Consider the following 21,825-nt stretch of genomic DNA (forward strand, 5'->3'; position numbering starts at 1 on the left):
TTGGACTTGAATTATAATAGAAAAGTAATTTTAGACAACTTATAAAAGCATAAATCTCACAAACATCATTGAAGAGATATACATATGTGTGTGTGTATATATATATATATATATGCCTCCTCTTTTGATTTTCCTTATATCTTTTCAATTTTAATGTTGAATCCTAAATTATCCTCAGGGTTGTAAAGTTGCTTTTATTTTCCCTATTCCCCTTTAAATCCTAAGGTATACAATAGTGGTACTTCCTGTCATATCTTCATTTGCATTAGCAGTCAGACCCCTGAAATAAATCAGACAGATATTGGGATGACAGTAGCAAATTACCACAGATTGAAATAAGTAGTAGCCCCAATTGAATCTGCTGGAAGAGATATGTTATCCTTGATAGAGTATATTAGCATGTTACTGAGTACCCTGTATGCATACATTGATCTGGTAAATGTTTTCTTTTTCATCCTTATCAGGAAACATGATCAGGGAGTTTGCACTCACTTGGAGCTGACAATACTATACCATGTCCCAGAGCTATGCTAGGTTTTTCATCTTCCATCATAAAATACTGAAGAGAACGGGACTAGCTGTATATTCTGTAGGCCGTCACACTGGCCAACTATATCTAACACATCATGCGTATCAGACAATATGAACAAGAAGTGGTCAATACATTAAAAGCCTTGATAAGACACATGTGATCCAGAGAGTGAGTGTTGCACTCCATAAAGATTCAGGGACCTAAAGCATAAAAGTTTTAAGTGTTTATTGGTCTGGGGCACTATGAGACATTCTATCTAAAGTAAAGGATACATTTTTGCATTATGCATTTCCTATCATAAAAAAGAAGCAAAGTGCCTGGCAGACCTCTCTGTACTTTGTAGTAAGCATATTTGACACTATCGAGTACTGTTCTAATTCATCCACTAGGTGCTGTATTTGAATGGCCTTCAGGGTAAGAATGGGCTCTATAGCAAGTCTAAATTTCACCATAAATGAGGTGGAATTTATGGCAAGTTTATGGGAAGATCATAACAAAATTCTTAGGGTTTTGATAAAACTCTGCTATCTACAGCACAGGATTGTATACATTTCAAAAATAAAGCCCTGGTGTTTTACTGAATTCTGGGTAGAGAAATAACATCTGACCATGGAACAACAAATAACCATGCAGGCAAAACTACCCATATGAGCTGGGGACTGTCTGAACCATCAAGTTATTAGGTTGAGTGGATACAGAGCAATCACTGTAACACGGCATTAGTACATCCAGGATTGACCACAGCATGACTAGAGGGCAGAGGCAAACAGTATGAGCAAGTAGCCCAGGACTTCATGCTATTCACCACTTTTGCATCAATATCTCTTCTTCAGACCACACTTACGCCTCCAAGAGAGAACACTTCCAACTCTAATGGAGGAGAAAAATGTCAAGCTTGGTTCATTAATGGGTCAGCTTGCTATGTGAGTCCAAGTCAAAAAGGATGAAGATAAATTATAGCCTCGCTTACGGTGATCTTGAAAAATAGTAGTGAGGAAAACGCCTCCCAATGGACAGAGTTTCAGATGGTACCCAGTCATTCACTTTGTGTGGAAAGAGAAGTAGTTTGAAGTTAGAATATGTATAACTCATAGGTAGTGATAAATGGCTTAGGAGGCTTTTCAGGTGGCTGGAAAGAAAAAGATAGAAACACTTGGAAAAAAGAAGTCTGGAACAGAGGCACATGCATAAACATATAAGAGTGAAGGTATGAAGTGTTGCATTATTTGTATTACATGCTAAAACTACAAGATGGAATCCATCATAGAAAATGAATTAAGCAACTAGGTAGAAAATGTGACTTGGCGAGCAGTTATTGTCAAGAGCTTCTGACATTTGCCCTCATTATCCTACCTGCAATGCTAGAGCAATGAGCTTATGAATGAAGTCACCATGATAGTAGGGATAGAAGCAATGCATGGGTTTAACAGCATGCATTATAGCCACTGGTCAAACATCCAGTCTTCCATCAATAAGTGTCCCATGCAATGACTGGATAAAATAGTTTCCCATCAAAAGATCAACCAGTTATTTAATGTCAAGTTGATGACACTGGACTTTTTCTACTTTGAATGTAGCAATTTTTTTTGGTAGGAATAGATACACATACTCCAGGCATGGGTTTCTATTCCTGAACATAAGTTCTCAGCCAGCATGACTGTCTAAAGGCTTATAGGATGTTTGACGCAGCAGCAGGAGATCCCACATACCATTGTATCAGAAAAAAGGGCCGACTTAATGGCAAAGAAAGTGTAGGAGTGGACTTATGACCATGGAATCCATTGGCCATATCACATATTGCACTATCATAAGTGATCTATTAGAGTCATGGAGGGATCTGTTGAAGCTACACCTGAAATTCCAGCTCAGATGAAATGTCATCCTTCAAGACCCAGTACTTTAAATCAATTATCTTTCTATGGTGCTCTGTCCTCACTAGGAAGAATGCATGGTTTAGAAACCAAAAGGTGAAAGCCCTTCTTAGAATCCCTACCAGTAACTCATTTGAGAAATTTGTGTTTTTTTTCTCCACAATTATAAGCTCTGTGAGTTTAGAGGTTCTAGCTCTCTAAAGGGAAATATTCCCACTAGGGGGTACAAAAGGTACACTAGGAAGTGTATACTTTGTTTAATTATGATGGTAAATGACCAAAGGCAATGAGATTAACTAAAAAAAGCCATAGTGATCAGGGGCTCAGACACTTCCGGATCATGACACCAGGTAAACCACTGAGAGCAGGAGAGGTGCCAGATAAGGGTGAGAGCAACACAGAATGAATAGTAAGAAGGAGATGGTGACCATAGTTTGTAGGACTTAAGACCAGCCGCAGTGGTAGTCCTCTTCTAAGTTTCCTCCAGATACAGAGGCCCACTATAGCCCTGTAAGAGCTTTTCCCAGATCTTTTTTAATCAATTAATTAATTAATTTTTTTATACTTTAAGTTCTAGGGTACATGTGCACAACGTGCAGGTTTGTTACATGTGTATACATGTGCCATGTTGGTGTGCTGCACCCATTAACTCGTCATTTACATTAGGTATATCTCCTAATGCTATCCCTGCCCCCTCCCCCACCCCACACCAGATCTTATACAAAGGAGTAGATCTGAAATTAAAGGAATAGACAGTGTTGGAAGTTATAATGCTTTACTCAGATAACACTTTCAGAATGAAGGCATTATTACTTCAGCTGCTAGATGTGCTACAGGTAGATAGAGCTCAGCTGAGATCCTTCTTTCTGGGTTGCCTCAGCTAAACAGAGTTGCTTCATCTAAACATATGGCCCTTTTCCATGTAATCTGCATTCAACACTGACCAACAAGGAGATTTAAGGCTTGCCGTTGGCCTCAGCTCAGAACATCAATGAATTGTCATCTCATATTGAGAACTTCCTACAGGGTTCAGTGAAACTTTAGTAGTTTGCATTACAAACTTCCAAAGTAGGTAGTTTGCATTACTTCCTTTCCTCAATCATGCTACCCACCCTTTCCTTTGAAAGATGTTGATCCAAAAAATGTTCCCTAGTAAACTTTCTAAATGCTGATCTCCATCCCTGAGTCGGCTTCCAGGGAAACTCCATTCTCATCTCTCTCTATATATATATATCTATATATAAAATATATACATTATATATGTAATATATAAAATACATGTATAATATATAATACATATGTATTATATGTATACAGGGAACAAGAAGAGTGAAACATTTAAGAAAGAAAGTTAATTTAGGGATGCATTAGCCAGGTTGTGTGTAATGAGAGCTCAGTTCTCTAAAGGCCTTCTGAAAAGCACACAGGATGTTTTTGCCTGAAGGGAGAGCTGCTGGACCATTTATTCCTAGTTAAAATTCTTCATTGTTGGAGGATTTCCCCTAGGGTCATTAAGCATTTTGTACTTCTAGGCAGCACTTGTCTATATGCCAAATGGGCTCCCATGGTGTCAGACAAGCCTTGGGGCCAAGGGAAGCCCTATACAGCATACTTGAGGTAGGTCACTGTCAGTATGTGTGAGATAATCTGAGTTCACACACAACTGTCCCTTGCAGCTCTGCTGAAATTAGAGCTGGGCTGAAGAGATGTGATACACTGGTACTAGAGGCATCTACTTTAGAAGGTGAGATAGAAATGCTGTATTTTACATTTACAACCATAGGAATGGAGGTGTGCTGGCTTTTACCATGAACTCCCCCAGATAGTGTTCTGAAAAGCAGAGGAGGCCAACTAAAATAAAATCACAGGGAAAACTATATTTGCAGGAAGAAGATAATCTCAAGAGAAGCAGAGATTAAGAGTATTCTTGAATTTTGCATAGTAAAAACCATCTAGTCTAAGACTGTCTCCCCTAACCAAGGACCTTTTACAAATAGTTGATCCAGGGGGAAAAAAAAAAAGCATCTACTTCAATGATTAGTAATTTAAAAGGAACTGGAAGAGATAAGACATATGGATGCATACATATATAAAAATAGCTAGATAGAGACCTGCAGGTGATAATATACAAGAAAGAAAATGGGGAAAGGAAAAGCAATCTGAATAGACAAAAAACGAAACCAGTAGTTAGTGGTTATGAAGTGGATGAAAATCGAAGGGTGGGGTAAGAGGCAGGTTGATTCTGAACATGGAAAAATCTACAAGACTGAGATTCTTTAAAACATCAAACTACTCTTCTACTTTAATATAATATCAAACTCAAATTCACAACCAAAGTGGTAACATTTCATCACTAATTTGAAAAATTCTAAATAAAATAAAGGAAAAATAACACACACACAAAACAGAGAATATATAGATTTTCTAGAATGCACAGCATAGTAAAGACAAACATGAGTAAAATTATGGTGAAATTTAAGCCATGAGGGTCAGTGCATCTTAATGCCCTGTGACATTGTACTTGAGGGTTTACCAGTAGATTAATACCCTTTAAGCATGAGAATTACTGATTGAGAGAACTTCAAATGAATTTGCTTCTAGTGTGTTGATAAAGTTAAATGTGATTTATCATAGGTGGGTAAGAATATGGTTGGTAGATAGGAGACAACAGGGCTAGGATATTCAGAAAATAACCTCCAGCAAGCTTTGTAAAAGCAAAAGCATATATTGATGTAAAAACTTTACATATGTAATTGCATGATATACCATCATGTTGCTCAAACTGCATTAAAGTGTGATTGAGAATTCACCACAATGTATGTTGATGTAATAGTAAATATCAGATTATGTCATAATTTTTCTTAGAATTATGGCTTGAGTGATCTATTTGACACAGTTATTATTGTTAATGATTTTAAATATTTTCATCTAATTTCAAGCTTTTGGTTTTCTTTAATGTACTTTATCATTCTTCATCAAAGAAGGTCATGTAGAAATATAATGTTTCTTTTTTCTAGATGTTATTTTTACTCATGCTCTGCAAAACTTTGGTAATAAATTTTGGTTTCTGGAACAATCCATTGAACAGTTTCATCATCATGATAATTATTGCTAACTTACATTGAACAGTTACTTTGTGCCAAGAACACTTTTTAGTATTTCCCACATTTGCACATTTAATCTCTCCAACAAGCATATGTAGGTTTTTAATTTTGCTCGTTTTCCAAATACAAAATCTAAGGAAAGAACTAAAGTAAGAACAAAAATGTTACCTACTTTTCCTAACATCACACAGCATGAAGGTGGCTGAGGGAGAATTCAAGCTCATCAATAACAGACAGAGTGAAAAGGAGGAATGGAGAAGAGGAGAATGAGAGAGAAAAAAGAGAAGATAAAGGGAGAAGATCCAGGGAGAGAAGAGGGGAAGGAAAAGAGAGAAACATGGGAGACAGAGAGTGAAATAAATCAAGATACAAGGTCACAGAGAAATAAGAGAACAAAAGAAATAGAGAAAGTTATAAAGCTAATAGGCAGTGATTAGAACTATGTAATAAATGTGGTAAATGTATACTCTTTGAGAGCACAGATGAAACACATCTAATATTTAGCAAAGTGATTTTCACTAGCAGGTGCTTACATGTATTTTATATAATATTTATAATGAACAATTTTAATCAGAGACAAAATATGAGGAAGATGTAAAAGAGGAAGAGAGAGAGTGAATGATGAATATCAAAGATTAAAGCACTTCACTAAATCTTGTATTTTTTCCCAAAATACAGCTGGTGAAAATCTTATCCTTGAGTAGAAAGGAATCAAACAAGTCATATACCACCCGTCTTCCTGTCTGTACTGGAACCATCACAGGCTTTTGAGGAACTACTTTTGAACCGTTCCCCAGAGAGGCATTTGCCCCAGTAGCTATGATTATAATTTGCAATGACAGCCACAGTGATTTCATCCTTCTGGGCTTCTCTAACAAGCCACATTTGGAGAAGATACTTTTTGGATCATTTTTATTTTTTATTTTTTGACTCTTGCAGGAAATATGGTCATAGTTCTTGTGTCCTTGAAGGATCCAAAACTCCACATCCCTATGTATTTCTTTCTTTCCAACCTTTCCTTGGTAGACCTCTGTTTGACCAGCAGCTGTGTTCCACAGATGTTGATTAACTTCTGGGGCCCAGAAAAGACCATCAGCTACATTGGCTGTGCCATTCAACTCTATGTTTTTTTGTGGCTTGGGGCCACGGAATGTGTCCTTCTTGTTGTCATGGCTGTGGATTGTTATGTAGCAGTGTGTCATCCACTGCAAAATACCATGATCATGCACCCAAAACTTTGTCTGCAGCTGGCTATCTTGGCATGGGGGACTGGCTTGGCCCAGTCTCTGATCCAGTCCCCTGCCACCCTCCGGTTACCCTTCTGCTCCCAGCGGATGGTGGATGATGTTGTTTGTGAAGTCCCAGCTCTGATTCAGCTCTCCAGTACTGATACTACCTACAGTGAAATTCAGATGTCTATCGCCAGTGTTGTCCTCCTGGTGATGCCCTTGATCATTATCCTTTCCTCTTCTGGTGCTATTGCTAAGGCTGTGCTGAGAATTAAGTCAACTGCAGGACAGAAGAAAGCATTTGGCACCTGCATCTCTCACCTTCTTGTGGTTTCTCTCTTTTATGGCACTGTCACAGGTGTCTACCTTCAACCAAAAAATCACTATCCTCATGAATGGGGCAAATTTCTCACTCTTTTCTACACTGTAGTAACCCCAACTCTTAATCCCCTCATCTACACTCTAAGGAACAAGGAGGTAAAGGGAGCACTAATAAGATTGGGGAGGAGGACCTGGGATTCCCAGAATAACTAACAAGGTTAACATATGTTTACCTTTGCTTAACCTAAGAATAGAGAACAACCTCATCACAAAAAGCTGGAGATACACCTCCTAAGCCAAAAGTAGGAGAGAAAGAGCTGCATTCTGTTCAGGTTGAGATTTCAGTTTCCTTCATCAATCAATTGGGCCCTTAAATTCTTCATATTGTGGATTTAGACACAGTATGGTATAAAAATTAATATATTTAATAGCTATTGTCTTGAAAAGGACACAATGCAATTGAATGGGGGAGGAGGAGAAGACACAAGAAACACATTACTTGCAAAATAAAATACTAAGTAGTACGTTTCATGCCTTTCTATTTCGTTCTTTTTTTGTTCTATTTTCCTACAAGCTCCACCAGTGCTTTCAGTCCCAACAAGATTTCTAAAGTTTTGAGACAGAAACTTCTTGATCAACTTATATGTACCCCTATACTGTAATATGGCAGGTCTTGGTTTTAATTGCTTCTGTCTCTCTGTCTCAGCATGACCACTGTTGACCTGTAATGTGACTTTCACTATCCAATGCAAAGTGTTTGCCATGCCAAAGTCCACATTTACTGCTCTCTGGTGCTGATACTATGATGAGTGTGTGTGCAAGTTTCTCAGTTTGAGCCTTGATATTCTGGGCCCCCAGTTATAGGAATAGACTTCTGTGTTTTTCTTCATTCTGAGGCCTTATTGTAACAAAATGGTTATCTTTTTATCAGACCCAATTATTCTTTCACTTTATAGATATTTATGGCTTTCCTATTATATACCTATTATGTTTCAGATGGTAGTTATGTAATAGTAGATAAAACATATAAAATAATCAACATCGTGGAACTTATAACAATATCATCTCTTGCTCTTAGACTCTTTCACAGTATTGATATAATATTAGATTTGCCTCATTACAAAACCCATTTGTTTATTGCTTTACTCTTAGCTATTATTTGTCTTCTCCATTTACAACCAAACTTTTTCAATTTTGGAAGGAATATTAGGTTCAGCCACTGTGTTGCTTCAGATTGCAGCTAACAACACTGGTCTAGCAAGTGCTTCCCCCTCAGTTCACTCCTGTTCAGAGACAGTGACAATGTGATAGAAAATAAAAACCCATTTTCTGAGGAGAAATTCAAGCAGGCTGCAGAAATTTGCATAAGTAAGAAGGAGCCAAATGTTAATCACCAAGACAATGGGGAAAATGTCTCCAGGGCATGTCAGAGGTCTTCACAGCAGCCCCTCCCATCACAGGCCCAGAGGCCTAGGAGGGAGAAACAGTTTCCTGGGCCAAGCCCAGAGCCCCCCTGCTCTATGCAGCCTTGGGACATGGTGCCCGGTGTCTTATCTGCTTCAGCTCCATCCTTGGCTAAAAGAGGCCAAGGTACAGACCGCTTCAGAGAGTGCAAGCCCCAAGCATTGGCAGCTTCCACATGGTGTTGGTCCTGTGGGTGTGCAGAAGACAAGAACTGAGCTTTGAGAACCTCCGCCTAGATTTCAGAGGATGTATTGATGTGCCTGGATGTCCAGGAAGAAGTTTGCTGGGTTGGCAAGAGCCCTCATGGAGAATCTCTGCTAGGGCAGTGCAGAAGAAAAATGTGGTGTTGGAGCCCTTACACAGAGTACCCACTGGGGCACTGCCTGGTGGAGCTGTGAGAAGAGGGTCACCATCCTCCAGACTCCAGAATGATAGACCCACTGACAGCTTGCACTGTGTGCCTGGAAAAGCTGGAGACACTCAATGCCAGCCTGTGAAAGCAGCCAGGAGGGGAGCAAAGCCACAAGGATGGAGTTGCCCAAGGCCATGGGAGCCCACCTCTTGCATCAGCTTGACCTAGATTTGAGACATGGAGTCAAAAGAGATCATTTATGAGCTTTAAGAATTGACTGCCCTGCTGGATTTCGGACATGCATGGGTCCTGCAACACCTTTGTTTTGGCCAATTTCTCCCATCTGGAATGGGTGTATTTACCCAATGCTGTACTCCCATTGTATCTAGGAAGTAACTAACTTGCTTTTGATTTTACAGGCTTATAACCAGAAGGGACTTGCCTTGTCTCAGATGAGACTTTGGACTTGGACTTTGAGTTAATGCTGGAATTAGTTAAGGCTTTGAGGGACTTGTTGGAAGGGCATAATTGTGTTTTGAAATGTGAGGACATGAGACTTGGGAGGGGCCAGGCACAGAATGATAGGGTTTGGCCTTGTCTCCACCTAAATCTAATCTTGAATTGTAGTTCCCATAATCCCCATGTGTCTTGGTAGGGACCTAGTGAGAGGTTGAATCATAGGAGTGGTTACTCCCCATGCTGCTGTTCTCATGATAGTGAGTGAGTTCTCACAAGATCTGATGATTTTATAAAGAGTTTTTCCCCTTTTGCCCTTTTTCTCTCTTCTGCTGCCATCTGAAGAAGGATATGTTTGCTTCCCTTTCTGCCATAATTGTAAGTTTCCTGAAGCCTCCCCAGCCTTGCGGAACTGTGAGTCAATTAAACTTCTTTCCTTTATAAATTACCCAGTCTCAGGTACGTCTTTATTAGCAGCATGAGAATGGACTAATATACCTTCTCTCATGTTAACTGCCCTCTTGGATCAGACGTTGTAGAGATAATTTATCTTGTTCCCAACATAATTTTTCTCTTGAGGGGTGGTTTTGAGGTTAGTGGTCTGAGTTCACACTCATCAAAATCTGAGCTTATTCTAGCATTAAGGTCTGCTTTGGCATTCTCTTTTAATTTCATTTTAGCTATTACAGATTACAATAAGCAATGGATTATATATTTTTCTTTTAAAAATTAGTTTGCATTTCTTTATGGATCTTGTGAACCAGCTCTCTGGGGGTTGGATTTGTATCTAAATTATAGAAAATTTGAATGATCCTGGGAAGACAGGAGGCTTTTCTCTCCAGCAATTTGCAGAGTTGGGTCTGTAGTTAAGATCAAGAGCAGTTGACAGAATTGGTAGCAGCACAAGAGATCATGAGCCACCTAAGGTGACCTAACTGAGTTGTTTCTGGAGATCTAATTTTTTTTTTTTTAGATGGAATCTCACTCTGTCGGTCAGGCTGGAGTGCAGTGGTGCCATCTCAGCTCACTGTAACCTCTGCTGCCTGGGTTCAAGCAATTCTCCTGCCTCAGCCTCCTGAGTAGCTGGGATTAGAGGTGCCTGCCACTGCACCTGGCTAATTTTTGTAGTTTTAGTAGAGACGGGATTTCACCATCTTGGCCAGGCTGGTCTTGAACTCCTGACCTCATGATCTACCCTCCTCAGCCTCCCAAAGTGCTGGGATTACAGGCATGAGCCACCACGCCCAGCCTCTAATTTCTTTTTTTAAAATTTAATTTAATATTAAGTTCCGGGATGCATTTGCAGGACGTGCAGGTTTGTTACATAGGTAAATGTATGTCATGGTGGTTTGCTGCACCTATTAACCCACCACGTAGGTATTAAGCCCCACATGCATTAGCTATTTATCCTGATGCTCTTCCCACCTATCCCCGACAGGTCCCAGTGTGTGTGGTTCCCCTCCCTGTGTCCATGTGTTTTCATTGTTCAGCTCCCACTTATAAGTGAGAACATGCAGTGTTTGGTCTTCTGTTCGTGTGTTAGTTTGCTGAGAATGATGGCTTCCAGCTCCATCCATGTCTCTGCAAAGGATGTGATCTTGTTCCTTTTCATGGCTGTGTAGTATTCAGTGGTGTATATGTACCACATTTTCTTTATCCAGTCTATCATTGATAGGCATTGGGGTTGATTCCATGCCTTTGCTATTGTGAATAGTGCTGCAAAGTACATATGTGTGCATGTATCTTTATAATAAAATGATTTATATTCCTTTGGGTATAAACCCAGTAATGGGATTGCTGGGTCAAATGGTATTTCTGGTTCTAGGTCTTTGAGGAATTGCCACACTGTCTTTCACAATGGTTGAACTCAGGCATCCTATAAAATGGGAGAAAATTTTTGCAATCTATCCATCTGACAAAGGTCTAATATCCAGAATCTATAAGGAGCATCACTGATTATTAGAGAAATGCAAATCAAAACCAGAATGAGATAACATCTCACACCAGTCAGAATGGCCATTATTAAAAAGTCAAGAAATAATAGATGCTAGCAAGGCTTTGGAGAAATAGGAAACAGCTTTTACACTCTTGGTGAGATCTGATTTCTTAATTAACTTAGATACTAATTTATTAATAGACAGGAAACTAATTTCTAATTTCTTAGCAGATACATACTGGCTTCTCAGCCAGGCTACTGACCTTTACCCCTTACATACACACCTTAACTTCTGTATGAACATGGATGTGACTGCATTGGGTAAGAGAGGGGAGAGGTGGTGGGCAGCAGAAGGGTGGCCTCTTTGAGGAAGATGTGGGTAAGGATAGCAGGATTCTACTTAGGGGTAGACAGAGCAGTGAACTTTCTGTGGATCAGAGACCTGGGTTTTGATTCTATGCTTGTACTGTCAGAGTATGCATATTCCATGTAGATTGTAGCCTGTGGCAGAGAGAAGAAAGTAGTCATCCTTCAATGCCTTCTCATCAGCTTCAAGATAATATGCCATTCATTCAAAATATTTTTATTGATCTCTTAGTGTATGCAAGAAAATATGTGGAAGGCAGTGGTGACTTAGAGACTCTAAGAAACTGGTTTGACTATAGGGTGGCAATCGGGGGAACAGTATTATTAACAGCCTAGAGAGGTTGGTGTGGTCTTGTGGGTTGTATTTGGACTTTAACAGTAACAGAGGAGCACTGCAGCTATTTAAGCAGGAGAGACTCTCTTGTCTTTCTCTGAGATTCTCTCCCTATGTCTCTAAATCTGTTTCTCTGCAGAGAAACAGATTTTATCCATATGCTCTTTATCCATACAGCCTTTATCTATAAGCTCTTCATCTGTTTCTCTTTGTTTCTCTGCTTCTCTGTCTCTTTTTGTCTCTCTACTGCTTTGTTTCTCTCCATTACTGTTATTGTAGCAGTATCTATATATCTCTCTGGGTCTCTTTCCAGCACTAGACCTCCCTGTGCCTTTAAGGAAATAAAGGAGCATAGGGCATTGGACCTGAAGCAGTATCTTTTGTTTCTTACCCTCTACTAGATCTTGCTGTCTGCCCTTGTCTCTGCGTATTAGTGAGCGTCCTCTCCTGACTCAACAAAGAAAGTAAGAGAATGAAGTGTATAGAACTGAAAATGCCTTGACATATTCTTTTTCTCAAATGTGTCCAGATTTTTCCAAAAAGATTGAGCTTTAGAATTTATGTGATATCTAACCAAAGTGAACAAGTTCTGTGTCCCCAAAAACTCAGGATCCACCTCTATGACAAGGAGGAGCTCAGATAATCCATAATATTCCAATTCTTACCACTATTAAAACAGTTCTATTTAGCATCCAATACTAGGTTCATAATTCTGAACATCAGAATCTCAGAAGGTTTTCTGCATTCATAAATATTTTACTGTTTTTAAGAGGGTTCAATGTATTGGTTTTTGATACTTCAAAAATGATCGTGTACATGTGGTAGATGTATCAGGGTCCTTTGGTTGTAAAAAACAGAAAATACCTCTGGCCATCTTAAAAAAAATAAATTTTGGTTCAACCATTGTGGAAGTCAGTGTGGCGATTCCTCAGGGATCTAGAACTAGAAATACCATTTGACCCAGCCATCCCATTACTGGGTATATACCCAAAGGATTACAAAACATGCTGCTATAAAGACACATGCACACGTATGTTTATTGTGGCACTATTAACAATAGCAAAGACTTGGAACCAACCCAAATGTCCAACAATGATAGACTGGATTAAGAAAATGTGGCACATATACACCATGGGATACTATGCAGCCATAAAAAATGATGAGTTCATGTCCTTTGTAGGGACATGGATGAAACTGGAAACCATCATTCTCAGCAAACTATCGCAAGGACAAAAAACCAAACACTGCATGTTCTCACTCATAGGTGAGAATTGAACAATGAGAATACATGGACACAGGAAGGGGAAGATCACACACCGGGGACTGTTGTGAGGTGGGGGGAGAAGGGAGGGATAGCATTAGTAGATATACCTAATGCTAAATGACAGTTAATGGGTGCAGCACACCAACATGGCACATGTATACATATGTAACAAACCTGCACATTGTGCACATGTACCCTAAAACTAAAAGTATAATAATAATTTAAAAAAAAGAAAAATCAATTGGAGAAGATAAAATTTTATAATAAAAAAAAGAAAAATAAATTTTGGAAAGATACAGTGAGTACCCCACCAAATGAAAGAACCAGTAGGACCATCAGGTTACTGGAGTAAAATGAATCAGGGTAGGCCTGGGGAATTCAGATTGGAAGTAACAGGTAACCCCATTTGGACAATACCATCTGTTGAAGATTCAAAGCACTAAGAAAAACTGACTTGTTGAAATTGGATCACTTGTTCACCCTTGTGATCAGTTTCATGGTCAAGAACTCACTGGAACTGTATGGAATAGGAATAGCCGTTCTCATGAATGTTCACAAATAGAGAAGAACAAGGGATGGCAACTTCTGTTATAGCAACTCATTATTAACTGCCTGTTTGATTATGGTATTCTATTCCTCTCTCTGCCAGGGAATAGAAAGTTTTTGCGTTTTGCTTGAGAATTGGGAAACATGAAGAACAGTGACTGAGTAAGGGGCTGGGTGTTATTTATAGCATGATTATAAATCTTTTATATTTGAAGGATTTTCAAGTTCCCCTTTGATTCCTTGAGTTGTTACATTTGAAATTCAAGGTGGTAAGTTGATTATGAGACCCTTCATTCTCCTTCTTCTACACTTGAGATCTGACCAAACACAAAAAGGGATAGGTTGCCAAAAGGAGGGCTTTGTTTAACTTTTTTGGAGTATTAGAACCTTATGGGTCTAAAAAAATATTTACATTAAGAAAATATTGACCATGAAGGAGAGCATGTAAACTCTGTAAAACAATGAAAACAAACAAGACAGAAGTTTCCAGTTTCCCCATTGCTTTCTACCTTTGTCCTCTTTTCTTATTCTTTCCTATTCTTTTATTCTTTTTTCCTTCTTTCTTTCTTTCTTTCCTCCCTTCCTCTCTCTTTTCCTTTCTTTCTTCCTCTCTCTCTCCCCACCCCATGAACCTTGACTAACTAACAAACCTCAAGGCTTGCAAAAATCATTCTCAAAAAATACTTTTCTGATGATTATTGACATGAAAGGGGCATGAAAGCAGGTATAAGCCCCCAACTGAGATTTTAAAATAGAAAGCTGTTGCCTTAGCCAAAACAAGGTAACGAGGATGTGTACTCCACTTCCTCTATCCTGTAAAAACTCTGATCTGACTTCAGTAAGGAGATCTCAATGCTCATCACCTGAATAAAGTCTTTAGCCTTTGAGTCACATCATTTTCATTTGACAGTCTTTGTCAGTGATTCCCGAATAGCACATGTGTAAAAATCCATCTATCCTCCCAGATTTTGGGATTGATGGATGTGGCCTTGGATGAACAAAGTCCCAGTGGCCAATCTTCCCTGGTGAAAGTCAGCCTTGTACATCTAACTTAAAGTGTGCTATGAAATGAAAATGTTTTGGAAGCACTGCCTGTTCTCCCCTATCGCCACGCACACTGCTGGTCTCTCTTGGTTGCCAGGCACTGGTTTAGGTTCTGAGCAGAATACTCCACAGTGTTCTCTACAGTGTGTTGTAGAATAGGAGGGTCCTGGCAACCTGAGGCAGAGCTGGTGTTACAGAGTACCTGCCTACTGCTATAAAGTTTTACTTTATACGAATTCTGGAGAAGCTGAGTGAGGCCATGTCTGTTACCAGGAGACATGAGACTCACAGCAGATCTCTCTGGCTTAACATGGGAGATGGCGGTAAGTGCAGCTATATCTGAATTTTTTTAATAGTTAAAAGCTGACTTTATCCAAATAGGGATTAATGTATTTTCCATAAGAAGTTCTGTTCTAGGTAGAAAAAAAGTGAAGATTTTGGTTAGGTTAAACTGATTTTTAAAGTATAGGAAGAGTTACAGATTTTTTTCTTATTGAGTCTAGTCTTGAGAACAATTTATCAAGAACTCCAAATTTAAAGGCAATTAGTTAATTAAAAACTTGAAAGATCTAACTCTTTGAGTTTAAACTGGACTCATTAGAAAACAAATGGAAGAAAAAGGTATCTAAATGTTCATAATGACTTGTGTCTGACATTAAAACAAGGATTCAGTCACTAGAAGATATGTCAAAGTCCATCAGTACCAAATGGATAAAGCCAAAATAACTTTAAAACTATATCACATGAATGAAGACTTGCCATAGCAATAAAGTAGAGTTTGGATGAAGACGTCCATCTTCGGGAAAACCCAAAATAGCTTTTACAAAAAACTGAAGGATGAAATAAAAGATTAAGCCAACAGAAATAAACATATTGAAAATATCTCAATAAACAGAAATAACTTAGAGTGAGTCAGAACTGAGAACACCTAGAACAAGTTCCAAAGAACAAGAAAAGTCAGAGCAAATCTCTGACACTTGGAGAAGATAAAACAGATGCAGGTATGTTAGAGTGGATGTAATAAACAAATCAGAACATGTATATTACTTAGATAGCTCTCAATAATCTGATTTATGCTTTTGTAAAACCTTTGGAGAGGACACAAACAAAATATAGTCTGAATTATCTGAAAAGAATAAAAGGAACACTTAAAATCATATTAAGCATATAAAATAAATCAAGAATCTTTGGACCAGAAAATGCACAGTATGAAAATTAGCTTCAAAATCTCCAGGACAGAGATTAAGTAATTACTGATATATATCAAGAAAATGAAATAAAACTTCAGATCATTTACATATTTATACATCTTAAAGTAGAAGAAGATAACCTTCCTCATTGATTCTACCTTCAAATAGACCTGCTTATTATTATTATTTTTTAATGTTTTTGTAGAGATGGAGTCTTGCTATTTTGCCCAGGCTAGTCTTGAACTCCTGGGCTCAAGCGATCTTCCTGCCTCTGCCTCCCAAGTGCTGGGATTACAGATATGAGCCACCGCAACTGGCCCTGAACCTACTTTTAACATCCAGGAAAAATAGCCATATCATTGTTGTCCTAAAGTAATTAAAAATTCTCTCTATTCTAGTTTCGTTGCTGTTAAATTGTTATACAGGAGTTCAAATTGAAGCTTAATAGAATTAAAACTCTTAGGATGGTGTTTTCTAAATATATATTACTTAAATGTTGGGGAAGAGAAATAATTTTAATTTCTAGATAGTACATGTACAATATTCTGTTTTTTAAATAAGTTATAGTGGGAGATTTATAAAGGCAGTTGAACAATCAAAGACATTTGGAACTAAATTTCTGTATATCAAGTGCTGTATTTACTATAGTTAAAACACAAGTATGAAAACAATGGAATGTTTATATACAAATGACTTTTATAAATGACTATTTCAATTGATTTAAGAAGTCATTTGATGAAAATGATAAAATAGTTAGAGATATAGTGGGAAAAAAAGAGACCCACGGGGAAACACCATGATAGACTGAGCCAAATGTAGAGCTCAGCTCTTCCTCCCCCAGGATCATAACATATCACCAGATAAACCTTTGAAAAAAAACGAAATGCAACAAAACAAAAAGAAAATCCAGAAAAGAAAATCGTTAGTTTTCTATATTTCATAATTTCTGTACTTTCCCTCTTCCCAGGTGTCTGTTCACACCTTCTCTGCTCTATCCAAGCGCACATCCTTTCCTTTTCTTCACTCCCAACTGATGCCTCTGCTTTTCAAAACTTCAGAGAAAATTGGAGAAATCAGAAAGGAATTTCTATCAGATTTCAATACTACCTCAACACACCCACCTGCTTCTATATCCATGTATTCTACTTTCTGTCTGGTTCCTATTGATGAACTGTTTGTGCTCTAGCAAAGGCTGATCAATCCTCTGCTGCCCTGGATCCATCCCCTCACCGACCTAAAGACTTTGTTTCTGAGTTCACCCTCACTCTCCTGCTGTGTAATTTTGCATACTCTATAGGTCATTACCATAGAATACAAGCATGCTGCCATTACATCCATCTTACAGAAAAAAACTCTTTCTGCCTTCTCTTGACCTCCCTTTCCCTACAGCTATTGAATCATTTCTTCCTGCCTTCAGCAAAGCACTATTCATGAGTTTTCTATGCTTTCTGTCTCTAAGTTGTCTCCCACTGTTCTCTCTTGCTTCCATTCCAGTGTGGCTGTTGCCTTCTTTTTCTCTAGCAAAACTCCTCCCTTAGTGTCACAGATGACTTCCTTATTGCTAAATCCAATGGTCAGTTCTTAATCTTCATCTCACTTGACCTACTATACTAACAGCCTTTGACACAGCTCCTTCTTCTTTGATATACTTTAATACTTTCTTTTTTTTTTCTTTCACCCAAAGCAAGATTCCTCCTCCTATCTTGTCTGAAGGAGAGTGGCGAGAGCAGATTAAAGCATCCGTGAGGCAGCCTTCTAAAATTTCTCAGGAAGTGGTAGCCAGTGTGAAAATGTATCACCTCACCTTGCTTCATATTTCCCTTCTCTCAGTTCCCTTTTTTTCTCACCTTTGCTGCCCTCTATTTGCATTCCCAAATAAAACATTAATATTTCCTTTTTTGCCTCAAGCTCTGATTTTTAGAGAATCTAGGCTAAGAAACTCACTAAGGTCTTAAGGTAAAAGGCCCAGCAAACACACTGTTATTTTGCTCAATCACAGAACGCTCTAGCTATTCAAAAACTGTTTTCTCTTTCTCCTTCTTCCACATGCACATCCACTAAACCCCGGACCCCAAATTGACAGACCATTCCCAAAACAATAACTTCTGGGTATGTGCTGGCCCTGGCTGGTGGCTTTTCAGTGTAGAGTTCCATGGTTCTAAATTCTTGACTTCAGGAACTCTCCAAATTATATAAAATGGCAAACTCAGAACCAGTTATTTATACTTGAAATACATTTTTATGTATAAAGAAATAAATTTTAACATATTAAGGCATAGTCACAGGACAAATGACAAGTATTGTCATTGTACAGTCATCTAGTGTGTTTGGATTATAAAGGCACACAAGGATTTTTATGGTAGGGAAGACATTGCTATTGTTTTCAACAGAGAAATAGGAGGATTAGGCAGAGGAAGGGAATTAGGAGAAATTTCACCGAAAAAGCCCATGAAGCTTTGGGTAAGGCAGACGAGGCTGGATATGACAGGAAGAATTTGCTGGATACATTATGGTCTGCTGGCACCATCTGGTGTTGAACCCAAGAAAAAACGGAAGATGAAGAAAAAGCTTTCAGAAAGTAATGGAGCCAAGATGAGGCCCACTGAGGGTCTTGTTCAAGTGACATCGGGATCTCGTAACAGAACAAATGGCTGTCAAAGTAGCTGGAAAAGCCCTAGGCTATATCTCCTTAGGGCTCCTTCCTTCCCCAACTTTCCAGATGTCAGACCCTAACCTACCTCAGAGATAGCACTTTACCTTTCACCCTCTCTTACCCATGTTCCTCCAACTGGTGCCATTCCCATCTGACTATCCCATGCCCACACCCAGATCCAGAAGCTGGATAACCCCGCCTCCCTAAACAGCAGATGCCATGTTGGAGAGGTGAATGCAATTGGAATCACTGAGCATTTACTTCACGTTCTCATTTCCACCGATTTTACCTCATGCCTCACTATTTAATAATATAAAATTAAAGTAAAATCTTCCCTTCAAAAAAATTTTTAATGAAATAACATTGCTCTGAAAAAGATAGTTCAACATATGTCAAAATGGCCTTTTCTCTTATTATAAAAATGAAAATTTAAAACCATACATAATGAAACAAAAGGACACTAAAAACATTTTATCAAATATGTTTGTATATGTTCCTGTGCTTTTGTGTTTCTATGTGCACACCTATGCTTTGTGCACTAGAATGACTGCTGCTAGTCTCACTCTGACCCTGTAGGCTTACTCCCATGTAATAAAACATGCCTCTTGATATAGCAATATGCCCTGATTTATGGCAGTGCTTCTATGCCAGGAGCATTTTTGCTTCCTAGGGCATATTTGACAATGTCTGGAGGTATTTTTGCTTGTCACAACTTGGGGGGAAAGGAGATGCTACTAGCATCTAGTGCACAGAGGCCAAAGATACTGCTGAGCATCCTAAAATGCAGAAGAGAGACCCTGACAACAGAAAATTATCTGTTCCAAAATGTCCAGAGGGCTAAGGGTGAGAAATTTTGATTTATAAAACACTGGTACCCATGTCCTGTTTGGATCTGAGCTCTTTTCCTTTTGCCAAGTGTGCATAGTTTCAAAGCAGGCCCCAGATGGAATTCTGTGAACTCTCTGTTTAATTGAAGATGGAAAAGATATCATTAATTACTAACTGCTGGTGAATGTCCCTTCTTGTGAATAACTGAAATAAAAAATCATGTTATCAAGTGTTAGAATGAGTGATTTGGCCTGTTCCCCCAGTTTGCCACAGCCTGCTCTAGAACACAGATACCTATTCCTTTTCAGTGCTTGAGTATATTTAAATAAAGCATGCCCTAATTTATAGTTAAGTTTTAAGTAATTCAAGAAGGGCTCTATACTTTTCTCTGAGTTGATCCAAAACAATGACTATTATATAATAAACAAGACCTTGTATACCAAAATTGTGTTTGAGGGCTTATATGTCTTTTTTTAATGAATAAATAAAAGGTGGAAACGGAAGGAAGGGAAGGAAAAAAGCAAGAAAGGAAGGAAGGCTAAAGAAAAGCACAGGAAGCCGGGGAGAGCGAGAAACAGAAATGATGTGACTCATGGAGATCTAAAAGGCATGGGGGAATATTGCCTTACATGGGCTCAAAAGAAGTCTGGAAAGAGATTGGAGAGGATAGAAAGCTCTGAGGCCAAGTGAAATACAGTAATGCAGATGGAGAAGATTACATCTCTTCCTTTACAGACTGGCAAAGTTCTTGAGTGAAAAATTATACAAGATGACCTTTAAAGTTGCTTTGTGAAAAAAGTTGAGCGCTGTGTACTCTGCTTCATTTTTTATGTGCCTAAGTCTCTGTTAAATAATCGCAGTGCTCCTTTCACGTCATTATTCCTCAGTGTGTAGATGAGAGGATTGAGGGTCGGGGTCACAACTGTATAGAAGAGGGAGATGAACTTCCCATGAGCATGGGCATAAGAACTGTTGGACTGGATGTAGACAGCTGTGATGGTCCCACAGAAGAGGGACACTACTATCAAATGGGATCCACATGTCCCCAGGCCTTTGCACCAGGCCTGGACTGACTTGATCCTTATGACCACCTTGGCTATATGTCCATAGGACAGCAGTATTAGCACTAAGGGCAAGAGGAGCAAGACCAGTGAAGCAACAAAGAGCTGAACCTCATTATCATGGATGTCCACACATGCAAGCTTAATCATGGAGGGTACCTCACGAAGAAATGTTGGAGCAATCGGTGTCCACAGCGAGGAAGCCAGAGGGTGACAGTGCCCTGGATAAGAGTGTTTCCCACTCCACTCAGCCACGCAACCCCTGCCAGAGCCTGGCACAGCTGAGGGTTCATTACGGCGGTATAGTGGAGAGGTTTGCAAACTGCAGCATAGCGATCAAAAGCCATTACAGCCAGGAGGACACACTCAGTGGAGCCCAATGCCAGGGAGATGTAGAGCTGGATGACACAACCCAGGAATGTGATTGTTTTGTCAGGTCCTTTTAGGTTCCACAGCAGCTGGGGGACAATACTGGTGGTAAAACAGATATCAACTAAGGAGAGGTGAGTAAGAAAAAATACATGGGTGTCTTGAGTTTAGGGTCTACAGAGCAGATCAGAATAATTACTGTATTTCCCACAAGGGTAAGGAGATAGGATATCAAAACAGCCACAAAGAGGATCTTTTCCAGGTGGGGCTGATGAGAGAAACCCACCAGGATGAAGTCTCCCTTGACACTGCTGTTGGTCATGCCCATCACCCTGTTCAGAACTAGGAGAAACACATTACAAGAATTCAGGGAGGATAATGTGTTGGCCATTGGGCAAAATATCAATCTTTAAAAAGTTTTGATTAATCTCTAATCAAAACACTGACTCAGAGATGTTACAGTGACCCATGGAATAAATTTTGATATAGAAATCACAAAAGAAGACCTTAAAGAAAATACATAATACAGAGAGATACATGAAGGCTATTGTGGAAGCAGTATTTTCCTGACTGATAACTATTAGAAGCTGAGATAAAGTGTATCACAGAAAAAATAAAGGCAGAAAGAAAGAAAATGTCAAAGGAATAAAGTACATTCAATTAATTTATAACTCAGGACAAATTGTTCAAATTCAGTGAAAAAACTCAGTAATGGTTAATATATGCAAATAATTAATATAAATAGCATTTCCATTCTTCAATTGTAAATTCTGAGTTGGGCATTTTTTAAGGTTTTTCTTTATATGAATGGTAGCTCGCTTCTGGAGATTATAGAGGTTATTTTTCCTATAAAATGGCAAACATTTGGCTATTGAAAGTAATAATATTAACATTTATAACTTAAT

The 21,825-nt window shown here is 38.7% G+C and overlaps 1 long non-coding RNA gene and 2 pseudogenes across 2 annotated transcripts in view; 2 read left to right on the forward strand and 1 right to left on the reverse strand.

Moving 5' to 3' along the window:
* Positions 6,327-7,267, forward strand: OR2H4P (olfactory receptor family 2 subfamily H member 4 pseudogene; annotated as a pseudogene).
* The window catches only part of LINC03003 (long intergenic non-protein coding RNA 3003), a 66,468-nt gene continuing 59,706 nt past the window's right edge, over positions 15,064-21,825 (forward strand). For both annotated transcript variants that reach the window (NR_134630.1, NR_134629.1), the window contains exon 1: positions 15,064-15,142. This is a non-coding gene — a long non-coding RNA (long intergenic non-protein coding RNA 3003). The remainder of the gene's footprint in view (positions 15,143-21,825) is intronic.
* OR2G1P (olfactory receptor family 2 subfamily G member 1 pseudogene) lies at positions 20,321-21,311 on the reverse strand (annotated as a pseudogene).

This window comes from Homo sapiens, chromosome 6 (assembly GCF_000001405.40).
Source record: "Homo sapiens chromosome 6, GRCh38.p14 Primary Assembly".
In the NCBI taxonomy this organism is placed as follows: domain Eukaryota; kingdom Metazoa; phylum Chordata; class Mammalia; order Primates; family Hominidae; genus Homo; species Homo sapiens.